This window comes from Homo sapiens, chromosome 7, assembly GCF_000001405.40.
Source record: "Homo sapiens chromosome 7, GRCh38.p14 Primary Assembly".
NCBI classification, from domain to species: Eukaryota; Metazoa; Chordata; class Mammalia; order Primates; family Hominidae; genus Homo; species Homo sapiens.
Window position 1 is genome coordinate 146,157,009 of NC_000007.14, and position 26,326 is coordinate 146,183,334.

General features: G+C 36.7%; 1 protein-coding gene across 2 annotated transcripts in view, besides 1 other annotated feature; it reads left to right on the forward strand.

Moving 5' to 3' along the window:
* The window catches only part of CNTNAP2 (contactin associated protein 2), a 2,304,198-nt gene that overhangs the window by 40,208 nt on the left and 2,237,664 nt on the right, over positions 1–26,326 (forward strand). The gene's annotated exons all lie outside the window — the stretch shown is intronic.
* Positions 4,110–4,654: an enhancer, noted in NCBI's record as "OCT4-NANOG hESC enhancer chr7:145858210-145858754 (GRCh37/hg19 assembly coordinates)". NCBI's record gives its function as "activates a minimal SCP1, AML or CMV promoter by ChIP-STARR-seq in primed H9 embryonic stem cells {active_cell/tissue: H9 hESC(primed)}" and the evidence as "EXISTENCE:reporter gene assay evidence [ECO:0000049][PMID:30033119]".

The following is a 26,326-nucleotide window of genomic DNA, read 5'->3' on the forward strand; positions in this document are numbered from 1 at the left end:
GGAGGTAACAAAAAGTAAAACTGGAAAGTGAATCAAATTTTGGCTGAAAATTTAATATATTTAATAGTATGTATGATTCCTCAATCTAACTTAGGTTAAAATAATCAAAAATAAAATAAGGTGAACTACTTTTTTTTTAATGGGCAAGGTGGCAGAAATGGAATTTCCAAACATCTAGATCTTAGGTCTTTATTATTCTAAGCAATTTTTAATACAATTTGAGAATCTTTATTTCTGTACTCTTCTTCAATAATAACATTAAAGCAGAAGGAGGTTCCAAGATGGCCGAATAAGAACAGCTCCAGTCTGCAGCTCCCAGCGTGAGCAACGCAGAAGATGGGTGATTTCTGCATTTCCAGCTGAAGTACCGGCTTCATCTCACTGGGGCTTGTCAGACGGTAGGTGCAGCCCACAGAGCAGGGTGGGACATTGCCTCATTTGGGAAGCACAAGGGGTCAAGGAATTCCCTTTCCTAGCAAAGGGAAGCCATGACAGATGGTACCTGGAAAACTGGGACACTCCCACTCTAATACAGCGCTTTTCCAATGGCCTTAGGAAATGGCACACCAGGACATTATATCCCGTGCATGGCTTGGAGGGTCCCATGCCCACAGAGCCTCACTCACTGCTAGCACAGCAGTCTGAGATCCAACTGCAAGGTGGCAGCGAGACTGGGGGAGGGGCGTCTGCCACTGCTGAGGCTTGAGTAGGTAAACAAAGTGGCCAGGAAGCTTGAACTGGGTGGAGCCCACTGCAGATCAAGGAGGCCTGCCTGCCTCTGTAGACTCCACTTCTGGGGGCAGGGCATAGTTGAACAAAAGGCAGCAGAAACTTCTGCAGACTTAAACTTCCCTGTCTGACAGCTTTGAAGAGAGTAGTGGTTCTCCCAGCATGGAGTTTGAGATCTGAGAATGGATAGACTGCCTCCTTAAGTGGGTCTCTGACCCCCGAGTAGCCTAACTAGGAGACACCTCCCAGTAGGGGCCAACTGACACCTCATACAGCCGGGTGCCCCTCTGAGTCGAAACTTCCAGAGGAAAGATCAGGCAGCAACATCTGCTGTTCTGCAATATTTGCTGTTCTTCAGCCTCTGCTGGTGATACCCAGGCAAACAGGTTGTGGAGTGGACCTCCAGCAAACTCCAACAGACCAGCACCTGAGGGTCCTGACTGTTAGAAAGAAAAGTAACAAACAGAAAGGACACCCACACCAAAACCCTATCTGTATGTCACCATCATCAAAGACCAAAGGTAGATAAAACCACAAAGATGGGAAGAAGCCAGAGCAGGAAAGCTGAAAATTCTAAAAATCAGAGCGCCTCTTCTCCTCCAAAGGAACGCAGCTCCTTGCCAGCAATGGGACAAAGCTGGATGGAGAATGACTTTGATGAGTTTAGAGAAGAACGCTTCAGAGGATCGGTAATAACAAACTTCTCTGAGCTAAAGGAGGATGTTAGAACTCATCGCAAAGAAGCTAAAAACCTTGAAAAAAGATTAAACGAATGGCTAACTAGAATAAACAGTGTAGAGAAGTCCTTAAATGACCTGATGAAGCTGAAAACCACGGCATGAGAACTATGTGACGCATGTGCAAGCTTCAGTAGCCAATTCAATCAAGTGGAAGAAAGGGTACCAGTGATTGAAGATCAAATGAATGAAATGAAGCAAGAAGAGAAGTTTAGGGAAAAAAGAGTAAACAGAAATGAACAAAGCTTCCAAGAAATATGGGACTATGTGAAAAGACCAAATCTACGTCTGACTGGTGTACCTGAAAATGACAGGGAGAATGGAACCAAGTTGGAAAACACTTCTGGATATTATCCAGGAGAACTTCCCCAAACTAATGAGGCAGGCCAACATTCAACTTCAGGAAATACAGAGAATGCTACAAAGATACTCCTCAAGAAGAGCAACTCCAAGATACATAATTGTCAGATTCACCAAAGTTGAAATGAAGGAAAAAATGTTAAGGGCAGCCAGAGAGAAAGGTCGGGTTACCCACAAAGGGAAGCCCATGAGACTAACAGCAGATCTCTCGACAGAAACTCTACAAGCCAGAAGGGAGTGGGGGCCAGTATTCAACATTCTAAAGAAAAGAATTTTCAACCCAGAATTTCATATCCAGCCAAACTAAGCTTCATAAGTGAAGGAGAAATAAAATCCTTTACAGACAAAGAAATGCTGAGAGACTTTGTCACCACCAGGCCTGCCTTACAAGAGCTCCTGAAGGAAGCGCTAAACATGGAAAGGAACAACCAGTACCAGCCACTGCAAAAATATGCCAAATTGTAAAGACCATCAATGCTAGGAAGAAACTGCATCAACTAATGAGCAAAATAACCAGCTAACATCATAATGACAGAATCAAATTCACACATAACAATATTAACCTTAAATGTAGATGGGCTAAGTGCTCCAATTAAAAGACACAGACTGGCAAATTGGATAAAGAGTCAAGACCCATCAGTGTGCTGTATTCAGGAGACCCACCTCACATGCAGAGACACACATAGGCTCAAAATAAAGGGATGGAGGAAGATCTACCAAGCAAATGGAAAACAAAAAAAAGCAGGGGTTGCAATCTTAGTCTCTGATAAAACTGACTTTAAACCAAAAAAGATTGAAAGAGACAAAGAAGGCCATTAATAATGGTAAAGGGATCAATTCAACAAGAAGAGCTAACTATCCTAAATATATATGCACCCAATACAGGAGCACACAGATTCATAAAACAAGTCCTTAGATACATACAACGAGACTTAGACTCCCACACAATAATTATGGGAGATTTTAACACCCCACTGTCAACATTAGACAGATCAATGAGACAGAAAGTTAACAAGGATATCCAGGAATTGAACTCAGCTCTGCACCAAGCAGACCTAATAGACATCTACAGAACTCTCCACCCCAGATCAAAAGAATACACATTCTTCTCAGTGCCACATCACACTTATTCCAAAATTGATCACACAGTTTGAAGTAAAGCACTCCTCATTAGAATCAAACTAGAACTCAGGATTAAGAAACTCACTCCAAACTAAACAACTACGTGGAGACTGAACAACCTGCTCCTGAATGACTACTGAGCACATAACAAAATGAAGGCAGAAATAAAGATGTTATTTGAAACCAATGAGAACAAAGACACAACATACCAGAATCTCTGGGACACATTTAAAGCAGTGTGTGCAGGGAAATTTATAGTACTAAGTGCCCACAAGAGAAAGCAGGAAAAATCTAAAATTGACACCCTAACATCACAATTAAAAGAACTAGAAAAGCACGAGCAAACACATTCAAAAGCTAGCAGAAGGCAAGAAATAACCAAGATCAGAGCAGAAATGAAGGTGATAGAGACACAAAAAACCCTTCAAAAAATCAATGAATCCAGGAGCTGGCTTTTTGAAAAGATCAACAAAATTGATAGACTGCTAGCAAGACTGCTAGCAAGGCTAATAAAGAAGAAAAGAGAGAAGAATCAAATAGATGCAATAAAAAATGATAATGGGGATATCATTGATCTCACAGAAATGCAAACTATGATCAGAGAATACTACAAACATCTCCACGCAAATAAACTAGAATATCTAGCAGAAATGGATAAACTCCTGGACACATATACCCTCCCAAGACTTAACCAAGAAGAAGTTGAATCCCTGAATAGACCAATAACAGGTTCTGAAATTCAGGCAATAATTAATAGCCTACCAACCAAAAAAAGTCCAGGACCAGATGGATTCACAGCCAAATTCTACCAGAGGTACAAAGAGGATCTGGTACCATTCCTTCTGAAACTATTCCAATCAACAGAAAAAGAGGGAATCCTCCCTAATTCATTTTTTGAGGCCAACATCATCCTGATACCAAAGCCTGGCACAGACACAACAAAAAAAGAGAATTTTAGACCAATATCTCTGATGAATATCGATGCAAAAATCCTCAATAAAATACTGGGAACCCGAATCCAGCAGCACATCAAAAAGCTTATCCACCAGGATCAAGTTGGCTTCATCCCTGGGATGCAAGGCTGGTTCAACATACACAAATCAATAAACATAATCCATCGTATAAACGGAACTAAAGACAAAAAACACGTTTATCTCAATAGATGCAGAAAAGGCCTTTGACAAAATTCAACAGCCCTTCATGCTAAAAACTCTCAATAAACTAGGTATTGATGGGACGTATCTCAAAATAATAAGAGCTATGTATGACAAAGCCACAGCCAGTATCATACTGAATGCGCAAAAACTTGAAGCATTCCCTTTGAAAACTGGCACAAGGCAGCTATGCCCTCTCTCACCACTCCTATTCAACATATTGTTGGAAGTTCTGGCCAGGGCAATCAGGCAAGAGAAAGAAATAAAGGGTATTCAATTAGGAAAAGAGGAAGTCAAATTGTCCCTGTTTGCAGATGTAAAATACCTAGGATTCCAACTTGCAAGAGATGTTAAGGACCTATTCAAGGAGAACTACAAACCACTGCTCAACGAAATAAAAGAGGACACAAACAAATTGAAGAACATTTCATGCTCATGGATAGGAAGAATCAATATTGTGAAAATGGCCATACTACCCAAGGTAATTTATAGATTCAATGGCATCACCATCAAGCTACCAATGCCTTTCTTCACAGAATTGGAAAAAACTACTTTAAAGTTCATATGGAACCAAAAAGAGCCCGCATTGCCAAGACAATCCTAAGCCTAAAGAACAAAGCTGGATGCATCACGCTACCTGACTTCAAACTATACTGCAAGGCTACAGTAACCAAAACAGCATGGTACTGGTACCAAAACAGAGATATAGACCAATGGAACACAATAGAGCCCTCAGAAATAATACCACACATCTACAACCATCTGATCTTTGACAAACCTGACAAAAACGAGAAATGGGGAAAGGATTCCCTATTTAATAAATGGTGCTGGGAAAACTGGCTAGCCATATGTAGAAAGCTGAAACTGGATCCCTTCCTTACACCTTATACAAAAATTAATTCAAGATGGATTAAAGACTTAAATGTTAGACCTAAAACCATAAAAACCCTAGAAGAAAACCTAAGCAATACCATTCAGGACATAGGCATGGGCAAGGGCTTCATGACTAAAACACCAAAAGCAATGGCAACAAAAGACAAAATTGACAAATAGGATCTAATTAAACTAAAGAGCTTCTGCACAGCAAAATAAACTACCATCAGAGTGAACAGGCAAGCTACAGAATGGGAGAAAATTTATACAATCTACCCATCTGACAAAGGGCTAATATCCAGAATCTACAAAGAACAAATTTACAAGAAAAAATCAAACAACCCCATCAAAAAGTGGGCAAAGGATATGAACAGACACTTCTCAAAAGAAGACGTTTATGCAGCCAACAGACACATGAAAAAATGCTCATCATCACTGGCCATGAGAGAAATGCAAATCAAAACCACAATGAGATACCATCTCACACCAGTTAGAATGGTGATCATTAAAAAGTCAGGAAACAACAGGTGCTGTAGAGGATGTGGAGAAATAGGAATGCTTTTACACTATTGGTGGGACTGTAAACTAGTTCAACCATTGTGGAAGACAGTGTGGTGATTCCTCAAGGATCTAGAACTAGAAATACCATTTGACCCAGCAATCCCATTACTGGGTATATACCCAAAGTATTATAAATCATGCTGCTATAAAGACACATGCTCACACATGTTTATTGCACCACTATTCACAATAGCAAAGACTTGGAACCAATCCAAATGTCCATCAGTGATAGACTGAATTAAGAAAATGTGGCACATATACACCATGGAATCCTATGCAGCCATAAAAAAGGATGAGTTCATGTCCTTTGAAGGGACATGGATGAAGCTGGAAACCATCGTTCTCAGCAAACTATCACAAGGACAAAAAACCAAACACCGCATGTTCTCACTCATAGGTGGGAATTGAACAATGAGAACACTTGGACACAGGGTGGGGAACATCACACACTGGGGTCTGTTGGGGGTTTGGGGGAGAGAGGAGGGATAACATTGTGAGATATACCTGATGTAAATGACCAGTTAACGGGTGCAGCACACCAACATGGCACATTTACACATACGTAACAAACCTGCACGTTGTGCACATGTACCCTAGAACTTAAAGTATAATAATAAAAAAATTAAAAATAAAAATAACATTAAAGCAATTGAATGTACATAATAATCAGTGACAATTTTCTAGTATAAAATTTTCTTTGTTACATTCTTCATCAGTTCTCAAAATATCATCTAAAAGGAAAGGGTGAGCCAGACGAGGTGGCTCACACCTGTAATCCGAGCATTTTGGGAGGTTGAGGTGGGAGGATCACCTGAGGTCAGGAGTTCAAGACCAGCCTGGCCAACATGGTGAAACTCCGTCTCTACTAAAAATACAAAAATAAAAATACAAAACCCCATCTCTACTAGAAATATCACATTATATATATCTATATATATCTATCTATATCTATATCTATATATCTATATATATCTATATATATCTATATATATCTATATCTATATATCTATATCTATATCTATCTATATCTATCTATCTATCTATATATATATATATATCAGGGCGTGGTGACAGACGCCTGTAATCCTGGCTACTCGGGAAGCTAAGGTAGGAGAATCTCTTGAACTGGGGACGGGGAGGTAGCAGTGACCTGAAATCTTGCCACTGCACTCCATACTGGGTAAAAAAAAAGAAAAAAAAAGAAAAAGAAAGGTTGTTTTAAGTGTGTTTGTAAGGAAGAGGGCAGACAAAAGAAAGAGATCATTCAAGATTTACACAAGATTGTTTTTATTTAGGAATGCCTTTCTTTTGAAGGTTTATAATTGGCGTTTGGTTGAGTTTAGTAAGTGTTCCAGACCCAGCTCTCTTCAGACTGATGGTTCGGAATCCATCTCAGCCTCATCTCCTTTTACCCCAGCCTGTGACAAGAAGTGCTTTCTCTGAAAATAAAAATCAGTACACACAGTTCTGTTGATATTATATTTGCTTCTTTGTCATATGTTTAGGTAGAATTAGTGGTAAGTTTTCTGAGTTTTCTCAGTGTTTAAAAAATTCTTCCTTAAAATTGGTGAGTCAACATTTATTTCCAGTTGGACTTTGCAGACATGTTATAGGTGTATACCTTGAATAACTTTCTCTTTTTAAGGTTTGCTTTCTTTCACGATAAATGCAGTAACATTTGCCCTATTAAATATGTTCTAAGACTTCATTAAACACACACTAAAAAACAGAATCTTAAGTATAGGCATTTTCTGCTCATGTATCACTCATCTACTTACTCCAAGAAAAGTTGATCCTGAAGAGATGAATTACTGTTTTTTTTGTTTTTTCTTTTTAAAGTTATTTAGGGAAGGCAGTGTGTATTTAGGTAGGTATGTACCTATGTGGTTATTTGGTTGTTACTATGTTATGGACCAGCCTTCTGTGATAAATTGTAGAGTTTATTTTGTTACGTTGTTGCAGCAACTTCCTTGACATTATTAGAGGGGCAGATTTCCATTTCCTGAACAGCAACTTAATAACAACTCTTGATGAACTTGAATACCATCAGTAGGTCTATTCTCAGTTTCCTTCTCATTTGGCTAAAGAAGTGGTCTCTTCCCTGCTTTATTGCATAGGCATGAACATTGAGTTATTTTTTCATTGCTTTGGACATTGATTCTTTCTAATGACTTCCAGTAGGCTACCTTTCAGATCATTCTTCTTTATAGTTTTACAAAATGCGTCATACATTTTAAACGCATCTTCCGTTTCTCTATGTTTCATAAAAAGACAATTTGTGTTTAGATCTCATCTTTCTGGGAGTTCTTTGAGGCTTATATTCCTAATCTTTCAGGTGGGACCAGTCTTCAGGAAGTTATTCGGAGTTTGAAAAGATAAGCAGTTTATGTGAAGTGTGTGTGTGAAACAACCCTAAGTTAAAGCCTAAAGTAATCTACAAAATAGTATTTTTGTCTCTTTGTATATATTTCTGTGAACATTCACAGTTTGGAATTAAAATACGGTGCCCTTACGAACTATAATCTATGACAATTATCTTTAAACGTCCAAGCTGTGAAGCAGTAGAAAAATCTACTGTGATTTGGGTAAACTTTTCTTTTCTTAACTTTCTTTGTTATCTTGGAAAAACATAACATATTACTAATATATTTTTTTAAAAATTTGTCAATGTTCAGTAAAGTACAGAAGGCACGCTTTTAAAATAAAATGCTTAATGTTTAATTCAGCACAACTAAAAAAGAAACCAAAGTTTTCTTAATTAAAATTAGTTATGATAATTGTATTATGAATCAGCAATATTCCCAAAAGGTGGCATGCTTGAAACGTGGAATATGTTTGCTACCAAACAGTCTTAAAATCTACAAAGAAAAGAGGAATATTATTGAAAGACTCTTATGACAATTGTCTTTTTTGAAACATTTGTGCACATTCTAAAACAGGTTATAAAAGTTATCCAAGTGTGATGCTCTTGATTATTAAAAGCTAAACATTTCAAGTCAGTCTGTCAATTAGTATTTTTGACTGAATAATTGAAATCTTTTTCAGTAATGTTTAAATTGCACTATGGCTTTTCCAGATTTTATATGTATCTAAATCTGTATCTATCTGTATGTCTTCAATTAAAATCCCCACTTTATTATGTCACAAAAATGAATTAATGTTGGAAATATTTGTGAATACATAAAAACTTTATGTGAGATAGATACAGCATAAAACAAAAGTTAGCAGGTTATAATATACAAAAATAAAATATTTTCTTTTTGGACCTAGCAGCATCATTTGTGTAATGCATAATGATAAAAGATGCATTAGGTCATGATAGTTCCCAACATGTATTTTAATGGTATATCAACCCTTCTTTTCCTTGCAGTATCATAGTAATCACTTGTGTGTATTTGCATGTTCAATTTTACAAAATCAAAACAATGTGTACCTAATACCTAATGTTTAAAATAATTATAAATTATAGGTTTATTTTGTTACTTTGTTGCAGCAACTTAGCAACTTCCTTGGCTCACATTCCCCCACCCCTGTTTTTTTGGTGGTGGTGTTCTTGCTTTTGTTTTGAGATGGAGTTTCACTCTTGTTGCCCAGGCTGGAGTGCAGTGGGATGGTCTTGGCTCACTGCAACCTCTGCCTCTTGTGTTCAGGCGATTCTCCTGCCTCAGTCTCCCAAGTAGCTGGGATTACAGGCACCCACCACCATGCCTGGGTACTTTTGTATTTTTAGTAGAGATGGGGTTTCACCATTTTGGTCAGGCTGGTCTCAAATTCCTGACCTCAGGTGACCTGCCCATCTTGGCATCCCAAAGTGCTGGGATTACAGGCGTGAGCCACCACACCTGGCCATATTTCCCCCATTTTTAATCAATCCATTGCTAAGCATCCAATGGACTGTACTCCAAAAAGCTAATTTGTTTTGAAATTGGAATTTGTTTTCTATAGACTCAGCAGTAATAACATTGGGTAAGGTTTCATACTAACTTCATGAACTTACTTAAATGATAATGCAAATGAAATACACTTAAAAATTTTCTAATGTAGCAATATACACGGTTGCATACTAGTTATTAATCACTATTCACTAGAAAATAAACTTGGAAATTAATGAACATTTAAGCTATTTTTAAAAAACTTACTATGAATACTTAAATCCAGCCAAAACCCCTTGGATTGTTAACTCTGTTTACCTTAAATAAGATCAGAATCGAGTTAGAAGTGGTCAGACACAGTGGAGCAAATCTTTCTGTAGAAGAAGAAACAGAAGGTTTAGAAGATAGCGGGAAATAATGCTTGAGCACCCAAGGGCTCTGAAGGCATAAGCCAGGTAGTGAAAGCTCAAATCTGGTCCAAGAGCTGTGAAATGGTAAGAAATTAAAAAAGAAGTCCGAAACCACATGTGAGTAACGTGAAAGACATGGAATGAAGCAGGCTTCCCACCTGACATGTAGGGGGAAGGAATCAGGCACTTTGGAGAATTTCTTCCCAGACATGAAGCTGGGGAATTTTAATTGATAGTGACAACTGGGCGCATAGCAGTTGCTCTGTAAACTCAAAGAGAAAGAACTTTGTAGAAGTCTTACTACCAACCAACAAGTACTTTTCCTCTTTCTTCAACAGACCCTGTAACCAAACCACAAATCCATAAATCATACAGGTGAATTCCCATAGCTCTAGTATGAATTACTTATACATTAAACATTTTACAGATAAATGACACTCATTGTTGGTCATATAAATATTACAGTGGACCCATGTTAAGCTATTGTGGAAACACAGAAGAAGAGACTCAAATCAAATTGGAGAGAATATGAAAGACTTTCAGATGGCCACAATACTTCAGCTGAAAGTTGAAGAGAATAATTTTGTTAATGGCATTGCAGCTGTTGTGTGCTGAGGTATTAATGAGCCCCTACATTGGCTCAGGTGAGAAATATTATAGGATTGATATGTAGCAGAAAGGATGAAGAGGACATAAACTCAAAAGTTATTTAAGAATCTAAAAATGTGTGGTTCAGATGAAAAGGAGTTTAGAATGATGCTTTGATCTTCTTCTAGTACAACTATATCTTTGTTGTTGCTTTTCAAAGATACAAGGAATACTTGAGGAGGTGTATGTTTGAGGAGAAAGATACTGAATTTTTGTTTGGACACAGCAAATTTGAGTTGATCATTGCATTAGGGTTCTCCAGAGGAACAGAACTAATAGTATAGATGTATATATGAAGGAGAGTCTATTGAATATTGACTCACACGATCACAAGGTGAAGTCTCACAATAGGCCATCTGTAAGCTGAGAGGCAAGGAAGCAATTACAAGTCCCAAAGCCTCAAAAGTAGGGAAGCCGACAGTGCAGCCTTCAGTCTGTGGCTGAAGGCCCGAGATTCCCCTGGCAAACCACTGGTGTTTCAGTCCAAGAGTTGAAAAGCTGAAGAACTTGACAGGAGACTGATGTTTGAGGGCAGGAAGAATGCAGTATGGGGAGAAAAATGAAGGCTGGAAGAGTCAGCAAGTCAGCTCCTTCCACCTTCTTCTGTCTGCTTTATTTTGGCTGTGCTGGCAGCTAATTACATGGTGCCCACCCAGATTGAGGGTGGGTCTGCCTATTCCAGTCCACTGACTTAAATCTTAATCTCCTTTGGCAACAGACACACCCAGGAACAATACTTTGCCTTCTTCAATCCAATCATGTTGACACTCAATATTAACCATCACAGTCATGTATTATACATGAAGGAAAATTTAATATAATATTGGAAATGTATGCTCATACATTCCCTATCCTATAGATAATGTAAGGACTCAATATTAACCATCACAGTCATGTATTATATATGAAGGAAAATTTTATATCATATTGGAAGTGTATGCTCATACATTCCCTATCCTACAGATAATGTAAGGACAGAGACTCCCGTTATTTTTTCTATATGTTGAAAGAGATCTTCCCAACCCTGCCCCTGTATGTACCATCCTTAGATTTCTCTACCACAGATTGTAGCCAGTCTGTTTTTCTCCAGTTGTTCAGTCCAAGAATATGAGGTCTTATTTGACTCTTCTCTCCTGCTCACATTTACTTGAAAGTCCTGTTAATGCTACCTAACATTACATCTGGATTTCAAACACTTCTCTGTGCATCCACTTTCTCACTCCTTTCAATTCATTATCATTTCAAACCTGAAATATTGCAATGACCTACCCAATGGTTTACCAGCTTCTAGCTTTTACCCAAGAACTATTTTCAATGTGGCAACCAGAATGACCCCTTAAGTAAAAGTCAAATTATATCACTTCTCTGCTCAAAACCCTGAAATGGCTGTCCATTTCACTCAGGATACAAACCAATGTCTTTAAAGTGACTTACACAAAATGCCTACATTACCTCTTCCCTCATAACCTACTATTCTCCCTCCTGCTCACTCAGCTCCAGCCGCAGTGGCCTTTTTCCAGGCTTTCGTACATACTGTCATATTTGAACCTCAGGACCTTTGCACTGGCTGTTTCATCTTCCAAATATCCTCATTAGCAGCACCTTTGCCACTTTCTGCTATCAGTTCAATTATCACTTTCTACGCTCTGTTCAACTATTCTATTTAGAAATGCAATCCAACCAAGCACTTTTCTCTTCTCCACATTTTCTTTTCCAGATAGAATTCTAACTTACCCAATTTATTTGTACATTTTTCCTACTGTCTCTGCTATTAGAATGTAAGCCACATATTAGGGATATTTATCTCTTTTTTCCACAGAGGTATGTCAAGAATCTAAAGTAGTACCTGACATATAGTAAGTGCTTGATAAATATTTTTACAGCTTTAGGAGATAAAATTGAGAAATGAAAAATGTCTATATTGAAGGCATAATGTGATGATTTGATGCAAATATACATTGTGAAATTATTACCACAATCAAGCTAACACATTGGTTATCTCACGTAGTTACCTTATTTTTTGTGATGAGAACACTTAAGATCTATTCTCTTAGCAAATTTCAAGTATACAGTATAGTATAATTAACTATAGGCACCATGTTGTACATTTGATTCTCAGAACTTATTCATCTTAAAACATTTCTCCATTTCCCATACCTCTGATCCCCTGACAACCACCCTTCTTCTGTTGCTGTGATATGATTTTTTTTTTTAGATTTCACGTATCAGTGAAATCACATAGTATTTGTCTTTCCATGTCTGGTTTATTTTATTTAACATAATATATTCCAGGTTCATCCATGTTGTTGCAAATGGCAAGATTTCCTTATCTTTTAAGGTTGAATAATATTTTATTATATATATCATTGTTTCTTTATTCATTTATTCGTGGATAGGTACCTAGTTTGTTTTCCATATCTTAGCTACTGTGAATAACGCTGCAATGAATGTAGCAATGCAGGTATCACTTCAAGATATTGATTTCATTTGCCTTGGATATATACCCAAAAGTGGGATTGCTGGATCTAGACTTCCTTTCTTTTCTTTTTTTTTTTTTTTTTGGAGTGGGGTGGTCTCACTCTGTTGCGCAGGCTGAGGCTGGAGTGCAGTGGTGCCATCTCGGCTCACTGCAACCTCTGCCTCCTGGGTTCAAGCAATTCTCATGCCACAGCCTTCCAAGTAGCTGGGATTACAGGTGTGCACCACCACACCCAGCTAATTTTTGTATTTTTAGTAGAATGGGGTTTCACCGTGTTGGCCAGGCTGGTCTCAAACTCCTGACCTCAGGTGATCTGCTTGCCTTAGCCTCTCAAAGTGCTAGGATTACAGGCATTAGTGACCGTGCCAGGCACAATAGTTCTAGATTTCTGATGAAACTTTGCAGTGTTTTCCATAATGGCTGTACCAACTTACATTCCAACCGAAGGGCACAAGGGTTCCCTTTTCTTCACATGCTTGCCAACATTTGTTATTACTCATCTTTTTGATAGTTGATAAATACTTGTTGTATTAAAAATTAGATGTTGAATATCACTAGTTTTTTTTTTACAGGTGCAAGCCACTGCACCTCACCACTAATATTTTTAAATATGGTTTTTGTGGTCATATGTTAACATAGAAAATATGAAAATATTAAGAAAACTAATTTTTAAAAAATTGAAGAAGAATATGATTAGGTTGAGTTAAATATGAATGGCTTTTAGAGCTATGCAAACAATTAAAACTAACTGACAAGAGAGAATTTGTAAAGAGATTAAGAGTGATTCATAAGTGCTGGGTATGGTGGCTCACACCTGTAATCCTGGCACTTTGGGAGGCCGAGGCAGGCGGATCACGAGGTCAGGAGTTCTGGACCAGCCTGGCCAACATAGTGAAACCCTGTTTCTACTAAAACTACAAAAAATTAGCCAGACATAGTGTTGGCTGCGTGTAATCCCAGCTACTCAGGAGGCTCAGGGAGGAGAATCGCATGAACCTGGGGGGCGGAGGTTACAGTGAGCCGAGATTGCGCCATTGCACACCAGCCTAGGCAACAGAGCGAGACTCCGTCTAAAAATAAATAAATAAATAAATAAATAAGAGTTATTCATATGTGTGGATATTCACCTAGCAAGGGAACAGCTTTCTGGATTTTTTGTGTGTTTGTTTTTTCATTATATTCTGCTATACTGAGTAGAGTTTTCCATTAAAATTTTTCCTGATTATTATCAATGGACAATCACCAATCCTTCTTAGCTTTAAATAACCTCTCTAGGCAAACAAGAACTAAGTAGAAAAAAATATATTTGAGACAAAACAATATTTTATAGTATAGTTAGGTAATTATTGCGTTTGGTAGTTTTTGCAAATTTAATTGTATTTCTTTGAGCCTATTTCTTTGATATTCGTTATTTAGAGGTGCTGAAAGAGGGAAGCACCAAAATGAATCACATATGACAAGTATACATACAAGCAGGTTTAAAAAAAACCAGCAAAATATTTTAAATAGCTAAATAATTTTCTATTTGTCATATTTTAAATCTCACTTAATTATAATCATTATAGGTTCAAGGTTTGTTTTAATCAACTCAAGTAATATTTTCTGGAAAGCTATGAGCAAGTGTTTTATGAATTCTAACTCTTTGGTATCAAAAACACAAATTGGCCTGTTTCGTTTTTCATCATGCATCAACACCAGTTTGGGAATTTTCTTTGGCCAAAATTTCTATTAATATGTAAAAGAAAAGATGTGTTTTCTTAAATGCTCTGGAAATAGTATCATAAAACATATATAATGTGTAAATTTAATAAACTTTTAAAAATATTGAAATGAACATCATATATTTTTGAATGATGTGTTGATATCTTAAATAGTGCTACAGAGGTAACAAAGTTTAAATTAATTAAAATTATATTCACCTTGAATATGGAATCTATTTCATGTCATTAATTCAGCTAAAAATTAGAAACTAAATAAATTATATTATTGAAATTTAAAACATTGTAGAAATTTCAAAAAATGACAAATTTGCTTTGTACCTTTATTTCTTCTACAAATTCTTAAAAAATGCTCTTAGTATTTTTTTTTTTTTTTTTTTTTTTTGCTTATGATTTAAAATATGATATTTACTTTGGAAGTTTCTTCTTTTTTTTGTTACCAGTTCGTGTTATTTCTTGGGTTTTCTTTTTCACCTACCATCCTTGTATTTCTTACAATTTGCTTCTGAAAATACCTATTTCTTCTTTTTAACCAAATAGCTCAAGGCTGGGATAGGATGCCTCCCAGGAAACATCTGGCAATATTTGGAGAAATGTTTTGTTGTCACAATTCTGGGGAGAGGAATGCTACTGACATCTAGTGGGTGGAGGCCAGGGATACTGCTAAATATCCTACTGTGTACATGACCACCCCCAAAGCACAGAATTTTCCAGCCCAGCATATCAATAGTACCAAGGTTGAGAAATTCTTATTGAAACATACACTGCGCAGCCACCTTAGTGGTCCAGATTTCTCTACATTCCAAAAATTTTATTGAATTTATTCTCCTTTTTGACCACAAAATTCCTGATTTTTCTCTCCTCTTTCTTGTTTTCATTTCTCAGATTAATGATTCTGACTATGATGTGATTGAGGGGCATTGCCTTTGGAACCATTCAGTTACCACCACACTAGATCTTCAATAATTAATTAAGTTCTGATCATTACGTGTTTTCATTTCTGTGTGGATAACTGGAGGAATCTTGTAATTAATTAGCAACCATGTGTAGTACAGTGTTAACACTTGCTAGAAATGAGTGGGCTCTTTCAGAATTCTCAGTTTAAGAACTCTTCCTTAGTGTTTTTCAACGCATTTTGTTTGGAATACAGACATGCAAGATATTCTGCAGGGGAAGATCATGGTCTGATAGATCTGGAAAATGCTGACTTTTTGGTCCCAAGAAGCTCTGTGATATTTACCAATGAACCTGAGAGGTCCTGAAGTACTAAAGCCTGCTTAGTTTGGTTTTCTGCAGCTGTGTGTGTGTTTTTTTTCTAATAAAATTGTTTTGTTTCGTTTTAATCCCTTAAAATTCCTATTAACATCAGGAAATATTGATATAATCCTATCTGCTTTCACAAGATTCTAAATGTTCAAATCTCCTCACCAGAACAAGTAGAAGTAAATCTGCTCAAAGGATTTTTAAAAAAAACTGGCATTTTTAGTGAATTACGTGCAGAGAACTTTATATTTAGTTTTAATTTTGTTCAGTTACCTTAAGCCTTTTTTATCTTATTATACATTATTAGAGTAAATTTACATTTTTATCTAATCTCATATTAAGGATTGAATAATACACTTTTTGAAGTTTACAATAGTGTACATATTATATGTATCTTGTTTTAATTTTCTCCAGGTGTTTTTAATAATTGAATTTTCCAGTTTGTTTGCTGTAAACATTGACCATTTAGAAAATAAATTGATGTAACACTATCTGCTTCCTCAAATAATCCCCCTCACCTCCCCCCACAACACACACACTTATATCTTGCTTGTGTAGTTTATAGCATAGTAAATATACATGCGTATTTTAGGGTATAAGGCTAAATTCAAATCTGTGATGCTATATGCCATATGTTTCCTGACCTATTTGACAAATTTAATTGCCCCTTAAAGTTTCTATTGCTTCTGTAATGTTATAACTTATTTTTTGTAATAGTTGGTATATTTATTTTCTTTACAGAACAATAATTTCCATGAGAACTAGGACTCTAAAAATTGCTCAGTACTGTATGGTATGTCATATAGAGATCCTGACAGAATGCCGTACATGCAAATATACTCAGCATGTGTTAGTTGAAAACAGATGATGAGACTCCTAACTTGTAGTAGCATGTAATCTATATGTGGATAAAAGTGTGCTCAAGCAGTAGCTATTACCAATGCACAGCTCTGAATGACTAAATATCTCAATCAAGAATATCGACAATAAATCCAGGAGCTGTGGCTCAAGCCTGAAATCTCAATGCCTAGGGAAGCTGAGGTGGGAGGATCATTTGAAGTTAGGAGTTCAAGACCAGCCTGGCCAACAGTGATACCCTATCTCTACAAAAAACAAAAATAATAACCAGAGATGGTTGTGCACATTTGTAGTCCCAGCTATTCAGGAAGCTAAAGCAGGAGGATTGCGTTGAGCCCAGGGGAGGACGCAGTGAGCTATAATCCTGCCATTGCACTGTAGCCTGGGTGACAGACTAAGATGCTGTCTCAAAAAAAAAAAGGAAAGAAAAAAAAGAAAAAAAACCCAACATAACAACAGAATACCGAATACCCATAATAAGAAATGTAAGATTCTCCATGAACTCCACATTTTTGGGCTTAGTAACTTGACTCTTACCACCTAAATTCAACTCATTTAAAACTATAGGCCAGGAGCAGTGGCCACACCTGGCTAATTTTTGTACTTTTAGTAGAAACAGGGTTTTGCCATATTGGCCAGAGTGGTCTTGAACTCCTGATCTCAAGTGATCCGCCCACCTCGGCCTCCCAAAATGTTGGGATTGCCAGCATGAGCCAATGCACACAGCCTATAGTTTTAAATGAATTTTGCTGATTCTACTATAGGCTGGGCGTGGTGGCTCACACCTGTAATCCCAGCACTTTGGGAGGCTGAGGCTGGCGGATCACCTGAGGTTGGAAGTTCAAGACCAGCCTGGCCAATATGGCGAAACCCCATCCATCTCTACTAAGAACACAGAAATTAGCTGGGTTTGGTGGTGGGCAGCTGAAATCCCAGCTACTCGGGAGGCTGAGGCAGGAAGAATCGCCTTAACCTGGGAGGCGGAGGTTGCAGTGAGCCGAGATCACTCCACTGCACTCCAGCCCAGGCGGCAGAGCGAGACTCATCTCAAACAAACAAACAAAAACTATAAAGAAAGCACCCAGAGGAGGAAATAATCAATAAATTACATATTTCCTGGACAAATAATACTTCATAGATGCCCCCAACTTTCCCATTCATTGCTAAAATCTCATCATAAGGTTGTAAATCCAGGATTACATGGAGCACAAGTTTCACAGATGTTGTTTGACTCATTCATTCATTCCTTATTCATTCAATATGAATTTATTATATTTTAGGTACCAAGCTATCGGCTGAAACCAGCTGTTAGAGGATGGAGAGTATCCAGATTGTTAAGGAAGAAATGGGTAGATCATCTGGTCAGTAGTAATAATGGTAATGGATCCCCAGAGGCAGAGTCACCTTGGGGAATATAAAATGCATTTTAATTTGAATCGATAAGGAGGCTGATATTGTGAATCATTAAAAAATAAATTTGAAAAATGTAAAGTAGTGACAGAAGCACATGGTCACCAGGCAAGAAGGCTAAGAGGCAGTTTTGAAGCCACTGCAAGGTATTCTTTGAGGAAGTGAAGGATGAAAGCTCTGTGTTTAGGTTTCTGGTTCTAATACATCCTTTAACAAGGCCATATTGTAAGAGAATGGTTAAGGTGGGGCTGTTCAGTTGGAGTGAAATTGACCGTTAATGATCCATCTCAGTATGATGGGCAAAGATGTATTACATGAACCTGGTATCAGAAGAGTGTAATCTTTGTAGCTCTCACCTATGATTACATGATTGCCATTAATTTTAGAATCTACGTGGAATCTTAATGATTGTGAATGACTGAAAACCATTAAGAAAACTTTAGAGACTTTCTGGATAAAATGCAATGACTAAGTTATTATTCGATTTATATGAATAAATATATTCTTAGTCTTTATGTGCTTTTCGGTTTCCATATGCACACCCTTTAGTTCTAAGTTTGGATTTTCCTCTATAATATTACAATTGCTATTTCTTTGTCTGTCTCTCTCTTCCCTCCTCACTCCATTCTTTCCAGTATCCTTGTCTATTTTTCTTTCTTTCTCTCTTCTTTTTCTATTGTTGCATCACTGGCCATAACCCTATTGCAGTTGTGAAATATTTAGTGGCCTCAGCTTATGTCCCTAGTGGGAGCTATGGAAAGTACAGAAAAATGAAAAGTGACTCACGTTATTCTAGTGTGTCTCTCACTTTCCACAGCTACAGTTATTGCTACCCTTGGGGAAATTTACATACACTATAAATAGAAATATATACTTTAGAAAGACATTTAAACTTCTTCTTTTACATGTCAGAATAAACAAAAGTACTAGTAAAGAAATTATTTCTGCACTAAATAATGAATTGATCCTCATAATGCCCTGTAGGTATGGCATATTGAGGGACAAAAATTATAAGTCTGATTTCAAACTTCTAAGTGTTGAAGACTCATGTTTGATAATTTGATAATTGGGGGAAAAACAGAGCAAATAATTCCCTTTTTGTCTATGGATCATATTGCCTCTCAGTTCCTTTAGAAAAATACAAGTTAATTAAGCTTAGGGACTGGAGGCGTAAAGGATAGTAAAAGGAAGAAAAATAATTTAGCTTTCAGAAGATCAAGAGTACTAGGGGAAGTGATTTTGGCTCTCATTTTTTATTGAAATAAAAATTGACAGAGAATTTGGACATCCTTTGGAAAGCCAGGCAAAGGAAATTCAGTTTATCATAAACAGGATAAAAATCAGAATATCCAATTCCCTGGGAATCAGAAATTCTCCATGAAGCTGAATTCTGCTTCAGTTCATCTCTGACTCATTTTGTCATTCAAATATGTGGGATACCTACTATGCACCAAGCATTGTTTTAGCTGCCGGAGATTCAATAGAAATGATACGGCTAAGTTCCTGGCCTCCGTGAACCCGACATTCTGATGTGACTGCTTTATTATTAGATAATGTGTAAGCAAATTTGCCATTGTGTGTTCTAAATTAAGTAAATTGGATTTAAAAAATTTAGAAAGACTATCTTTTGGTATTCTTACAACTTACTATTTAAAATAATACACCATTTGAAAGAAGGTTTTGTGCCTCTAGCTATAGCCACAAGTGGCTTCATGCCTTCAGAAGGGGTCAGGGAAGACAAGCAGCCAGGAGGCAGTAGGGACAGAATAGTTGCTTTGAATAGAGACAGGTTTAGTCCAGTTTTGCCTGAGAGGGTTAGAGATCCATTCTGCTCTCTGTCCTTGCCATGGATTCTGTTGTCTTTCACTCCAGCCCCTTCTGCTCAACATGCATCATTCTTTGTTTCCACTCTGCAGTCCTTTCATGCTGCTTACTTAGGTGTTGTAAATTTTGAATGACTCTAATGTCTACAGCATTTCCTGAATTTTACATCTGGACAGTATTGAAGGGCAGCGGGGCCTCCCAAAGAGCCTGTTTTGCTTGACTAAGTTCTTTTGCTGTATTGATTTAGTATAAGAAATTCTGGGATAATGTTCAATTTCTTCATGGTTCTTAAAAATTTCAGGCATCAACAAAGGCTGTGTATTCCAGGCAAGAGATACAATATGAAGAAAAAAAACAACAACAGACTATTATCAGCTTGTTCAAACACAAATCTCTACAGGTTGACATTTTCTTAGGATTGGTTCCCAGAATGTGATGTATTTTCTTCTGTGGGTGTTCAACTCATTTGCTCTTACAACTGAAAAAAACAGCAGTAAAAGCCAAATTGAACCAGTCCAGCTGTTATACTATTACTTTTAAAGAATGCCTCAAATTCTTAGTGTTTACTTCTAGTTTAGTTCGTACCGGATTTCTCTTCACATGTCAAGCTATGAAAAAACAAGCTGACAAATCAAAAGGTTGACTTCCCAATGTCTTCTGATAAAAATAATATTTGAACTATTCTATCTGTAACACAAGAATATGTATTTATATGTAAGAAATCCTTTGGCTCTTCCCTCTTTTGTTATTTACAATATTGGGTGCATTCTCATGATCTTTCTTTGCTATTCATTTTATTTATTTTTACTTTCCTACATAGAGAGTTCTTATTGTTTCTGTTGTTTCATAAATTTTAGAAGCCTCCAATTTTAGAACTAAAAGAACCATATTGTAGAGATTTCATGATCGCCAAGTTTAATCCTTCCTCTTACCTATGAGAATGCCTGTAGGTTGCTTGTATTTTATTTTATTTCATAAACTACTGGAACATATTCTTTATTTTTATTTTTATTTTTTTATTTTTTGAGACGGAGTCTCGTTCTGTCACCCAGGCTAGAGTGTAGTGACGTGATCTCGGCTCACTGCAAGCTCCACCTCCTGGGTTCTCGCCATTCTCCTGCCTCAGCCTCCTGAGTAGCTGGGACTACAGGCACCTGCCACCATGCCCGGCTAATTTTTTGTATTTTTAGTAGAGACGGAGTTTCACCGTGTTAGCCAGGATGCTTTCAATCTACCGACCTCGTGATCCGCCTGCCTTGGCCTCCCAAAGTTCTGGGATTACAGGCGTGAGCTACTGCACCCGGCCTGGAACATATTCTTTATGTGCTTGTATTTCTTTTCTGTTAATATTTAGATCTATAGTTTATTTGCAGCTACTGTAAATTTTGATACATCAGATTTATCGAACATGCTACAAAGAGTAAATTATGTCATAGTTTGCTATTTTCTCATTTAGATATTACTCCATACAATACAGAACATAAGCTTTGGGCATGTTTGATTAGTAATTTAAGAATCCTTTCTATCTATACAAGTAGTGACCTACGCATCCTCCATTTGGCCTCCAGTGTGCAATTCTGTGTGATTAACATTTTAAAATTTCCTATTTTTTTAATGCTAACTTTTGTAATCTTCAGGTGTCAGACGTTTAGATGAAAACAGTACATCTGCTAAATTATTGCTCAAAATATTACATATTTTATGCAAAATTGAATGGTTCACCTACAGGTAGAATGAAGAGAAACAAACAGGCAAAATTATTCTTTCAGTTCTGTTCTTATCATCATACAGTTGGGTCTGCTTATTACTAAGGTTAGATCAAAGGCCTGAGATAATTTAGCTAGTTTCCTATCTAGATAAACCTAGACTTGGTCTAAAGCCACCTAGCAGCTCTGTGACTTGCTATGATTTAGGGCTGCTGTTATCTCCCAAATACTGGTTGTAAATTAATGAATGAATCCAGAAGTTAAAGATAACTGAGACTTTTACAACATGAAGATTTTCCTGACTGAAATAAACCAGGTCATGTGTCACTCATTTATATTTTAAATTGGTTTAATTAGTCTGCTCCTCTGTGATCACCTAGTGAACATAAGCTCTTTTGGGGAAACAGAAGTTTTGAGAGAGAAGGAGATGAGGGGATAGTAAGAAAGGGATGGTTTTGGAGTGGATAATGAAAGCTATGATCAGATGAAAGTGTTGCAGATGGGAACATGGCCGTTCTGGACAGGGTATCGCCATGGATGACTTAATAACTTGGGACATGGGGTAAATAAAAATAGAACCGTAAGGAATACTTGGGGAGGGGGTGTAATTGACCCTAAAATAATTGTGGAAAGCCAAGACTATCTGATATTTTTTGATATCAAAGAAATATAACCTAGAAAGTCAGAAAAAAACTTTAGCATTTAGTTCACTAAAAGAAATAATGATCCAAACTAATTGATATGCCTGCCTTAAACACAGTTTTCTATGAATTTTAGGCTCATATACCCTTATAGGAAAAACATGATCACACACACACAAATAGCATGTTTTTCGAGAATTATTAAATATTGGGAACCTGAAGGTATCCTAGAGATCCTAAGATCCAAACTCTTCATTTAGTAAGTGAAGTAAACAAGTCCCAGAAGATTAAGTGAATTGGCCAGGTCATAGAGCCCATCTTCATGCAGGATTTTATAGTCTGAAGTGATATTTCAAAATTGGGGGATAAATGCTTCAGACCTTTCAAAATTTAATTATTGTAGAATATAGATTAGTGACTAAAATGAAAAGAAAAAGTTTCAGGAAGATAATCTCTATTATTTTGGTATAAATGTTGACGAAGAAGAGATAAAAAATATTTTTATGGCAACGGCTTGTTGGATACGTTGCCGAATTTTCTTTAAACAATATGAAATGATTTTTAGTAGGAAAGTGTCAGTGCTGTATGTGTGTGTGTATATGTTACACTTTCTCCGCCACTTCCAAGCCATTCACAGTTAAACAGGATTTCACTCAAACATTGTAACAGCAGTTGCCAAAGCACTAAACTCTGTATGTTTTTGGATGTCTTGGTACAAAGAATAAGTAACAGGAGAAACACCCTCAGGGAAAGTTTAGAAACTCTGTGTAGCTTTTTTCACTTTAATAATTACAACAGTGTTAATTCACAGCCTCTTTGACTAGACACTTAGGATTTAAGTAGCCTAGCAATTCTGCCTTCAGCTACTAGTGAGTTCTTTTGCATATTTATCAGATGTGCCCGCCTTTCTTTTTATTTCATTTTTTTCTTTTTTTCTTTCCTTTTCTCTTCCTTTCCTTTTCTTTCTTCCTTTCTTTATCCTTCATTTTTCTTTCTTTTCCTTCCTTTTAATTTATTTTTTAAAGTTGTTAAACTTTAAGATAAAATCAATGGGGCATATATCCATTCTCTATCAAAATAGATCTGCCTTATAAATATGTTTCATTTAAAAGTCGATAAATTTTTAAATTCCCAGTATTAATGTGTGATTATTTTATTTGCATTATCTCTTTTTTTAACCTAGTATATTAAAATGTATGTATTCAACACACAGCTGCTGAGGAGCTCTCTCCCACCTTCATTCTTCCTCAATCAACAGCCCTCTCTATACTAGGCACTGTTGTAGGAAGTAATGATTGTTGTAGCCTCCATTTATTCTTCATACCAAATACTAAATTATTTAGGTTCAATTTGCCGTAATGTAATCTTCACCACAGTCTTTGAAGTTGTATATCATTGTCCTCACTTTATGTATTAAACAAAATTTTAAAAAATGTTCAAAGAAGTTAATATCACCAAGGTCAGTAACCAGTAAGTAAGTTTGTCGTGGTTCAAAACCAGTTCATCTGAAGTTCAGAGTCGGGTGTATGTGCTGTGCCTTGTAGACTGTGTTTGAACACAAAAGCAGGAGGAGGGATATCATATGCTACTGGTTTTCTTCCTTCTACTCTGCCTACTATCTTCTTTCTTGGCTCCACTTTTCCCAGGGCATAGTCTATAAATTTCTGAGAAACATTTTGCACTTCTGTTATGAGTAGGAACTCTTTCATGACTTCAACGTTGCATTTGAATGCATATGCTTCTGCAAAATGTACCATCATCAAGTTACTTTAAGCACTTTGGGGGAACAACATGATGACTATACCCAACTTTGCCAACATACCCATGATATGCATGATTCACTTTCATTATTTTAGTATAAATGATGCCAAAATAAATAGAATAAGGAGGTTAGGATTTAGGAGAGTTGGGTGTTTCAGCTCTGCCACTAAACATCTCTGATATTTGGGACTAATATCTTAATATTTATTGGCTTTAGCTTTCTTATCAGTAACAGAAAAAAAGTTCTAGATGTGTTTAGGGTAACATGCCATGATAAATTTTTATTATTATTTCTAATAAGAGTAGCACAAGGCTTAGCATATAGTAACATTTGCAAATCTTAAGTGTCTAAATCAATGCGGTTTTACATATCCTTCCATAACCGTGCCACTTGATAATACATTTTTTTCTCATGCCATCCAATAACTTTTTTTCTCTAAAAATAGGACTAGGATAGTAACTGCAGAATAACTAAAGACTTCACTTTTTTACTGCTCAGATGAACATTCAAAATAAGTATTATATGGAATTTTGCTGTAGTTTTATGCTTACTTGGCAACACAAGCCTGGCCTTGTTTCTGTAACTCAAGGTTTTTGACCATGAATGGAAGTTAAATTTTATAATCAGAGCATTTTCTAAGTCTTGTCCCACAAAAAAATAAAATATAATAAAATGGAAACTGTTCAGGCCCTAGAGAGAATTTGCTGGTCAAGCACATATTTACACAAGTAGAGTGCATGGCACTCTTGATATTGTTTCTTTTTCAGGAGCTGATTTAATATCCTGCCTTATGTTGATGTGCAGGCTCATTGGTCATGTAGGTTAGCTTAGAGCTTATATTCCCATTCTTATTATTTCTGGAATATATTTTAATGTCCAGGTTATGTTGAAACTTATTCTAATAATAAAAATAGCTGCAATACAGAGTCTCCAGTGCTCACAGAAATAATGTAGAAACAATACTTTATTTAATAAAAAAGAAAAAGAAAATTTTAAATCTAAAATATTTAGTATCTTCTTCCCTGAAAGCAAACTGGAGAGGAAATATGAATGAGAATAACTGTGTACTTGTGTGAGAAAAAGATTCTAGAGACAAGAGAATCTTTTTGTTTGTTTGTTTGATTTTGTCTAGGTAGGATACTTCACTAGTCCAATAATCTTTCCTCTAATGTTTAACAACATTCCCACAGTAACACTCCTGAAAATGGCTATGCAATTGGGAAGCTCAAAAATTTGTAGGAGACATGTACATATTATCTGTACATATTTTCATTCTTAGGAAAATAGCAAGTCTACATATAGGCAAGCAGAGAACCATTTCCTTTCTTTCTGGTTCATCACACTTCCCCAAGAATACATAGAATGTGTTCTTCCAAAGCAGCAAAAGGGATCCTCTCATGAGTTCTTTTTTTCACAGCTTGTTACAACTGCATGTTTATGCATCTTTTCTTATCCATTTCCATCGCTTCACTTTGGATCTCTGCACAGGATTCTGACAAGCTCTTTCTCCTTCTGGCACAGCAGATTAATCCTTTTCTAACACAACTTTTACCCTTTAAATTATTGATTTGAAAATATCCTTCCCAAATCTAACTTCATTCTGTTTGACTTCGTAGGCACTCACGTCTGATCCAGCCTCACACATCGAACTTCCTCACTGTTCCCTTGCTAACTCATGTCTCTCTCACTCTTGTACCTCTCTTGTAAGATCACATTTAACCACTTCCTAATATGCTGTATCTGTACTCCAATTTTCTATCTAGGTCCTGCTCATCTTTCTATGTCCTATTAAATACCACCTTTTAGTGAGAGCTTCTCTTGTCATTGTTCGTATTTCTTGTTCCTTTATTTTATACATTACCATTTAATTCTATTAAAAATTCCTTTTAGCTAACAACTACAATCACAGTTATCCTATAAATGTTCTCTTCTTGGAATGGTATTTTTGGACATTCCATGTTTTGCAAAAGGCTTCTGTTTTCAAGATTTAAGCTTGATTCTGCTTTACTTTATAAATGTGTGCCATGTCCAGTGCCTCTGTTATTACCTCCCACCAGAGGATGCCAGGCCTTGAAGAACCCTGCCTGCATCTCACAATATAAGGAGAAGAAACCAGAACAATTGGTGTCTGGGATTCTAGCAGGACAGATCTCCCACTTGGTCCCATCAGCCATGGGATTCATTAGCTGCAGTTAACCC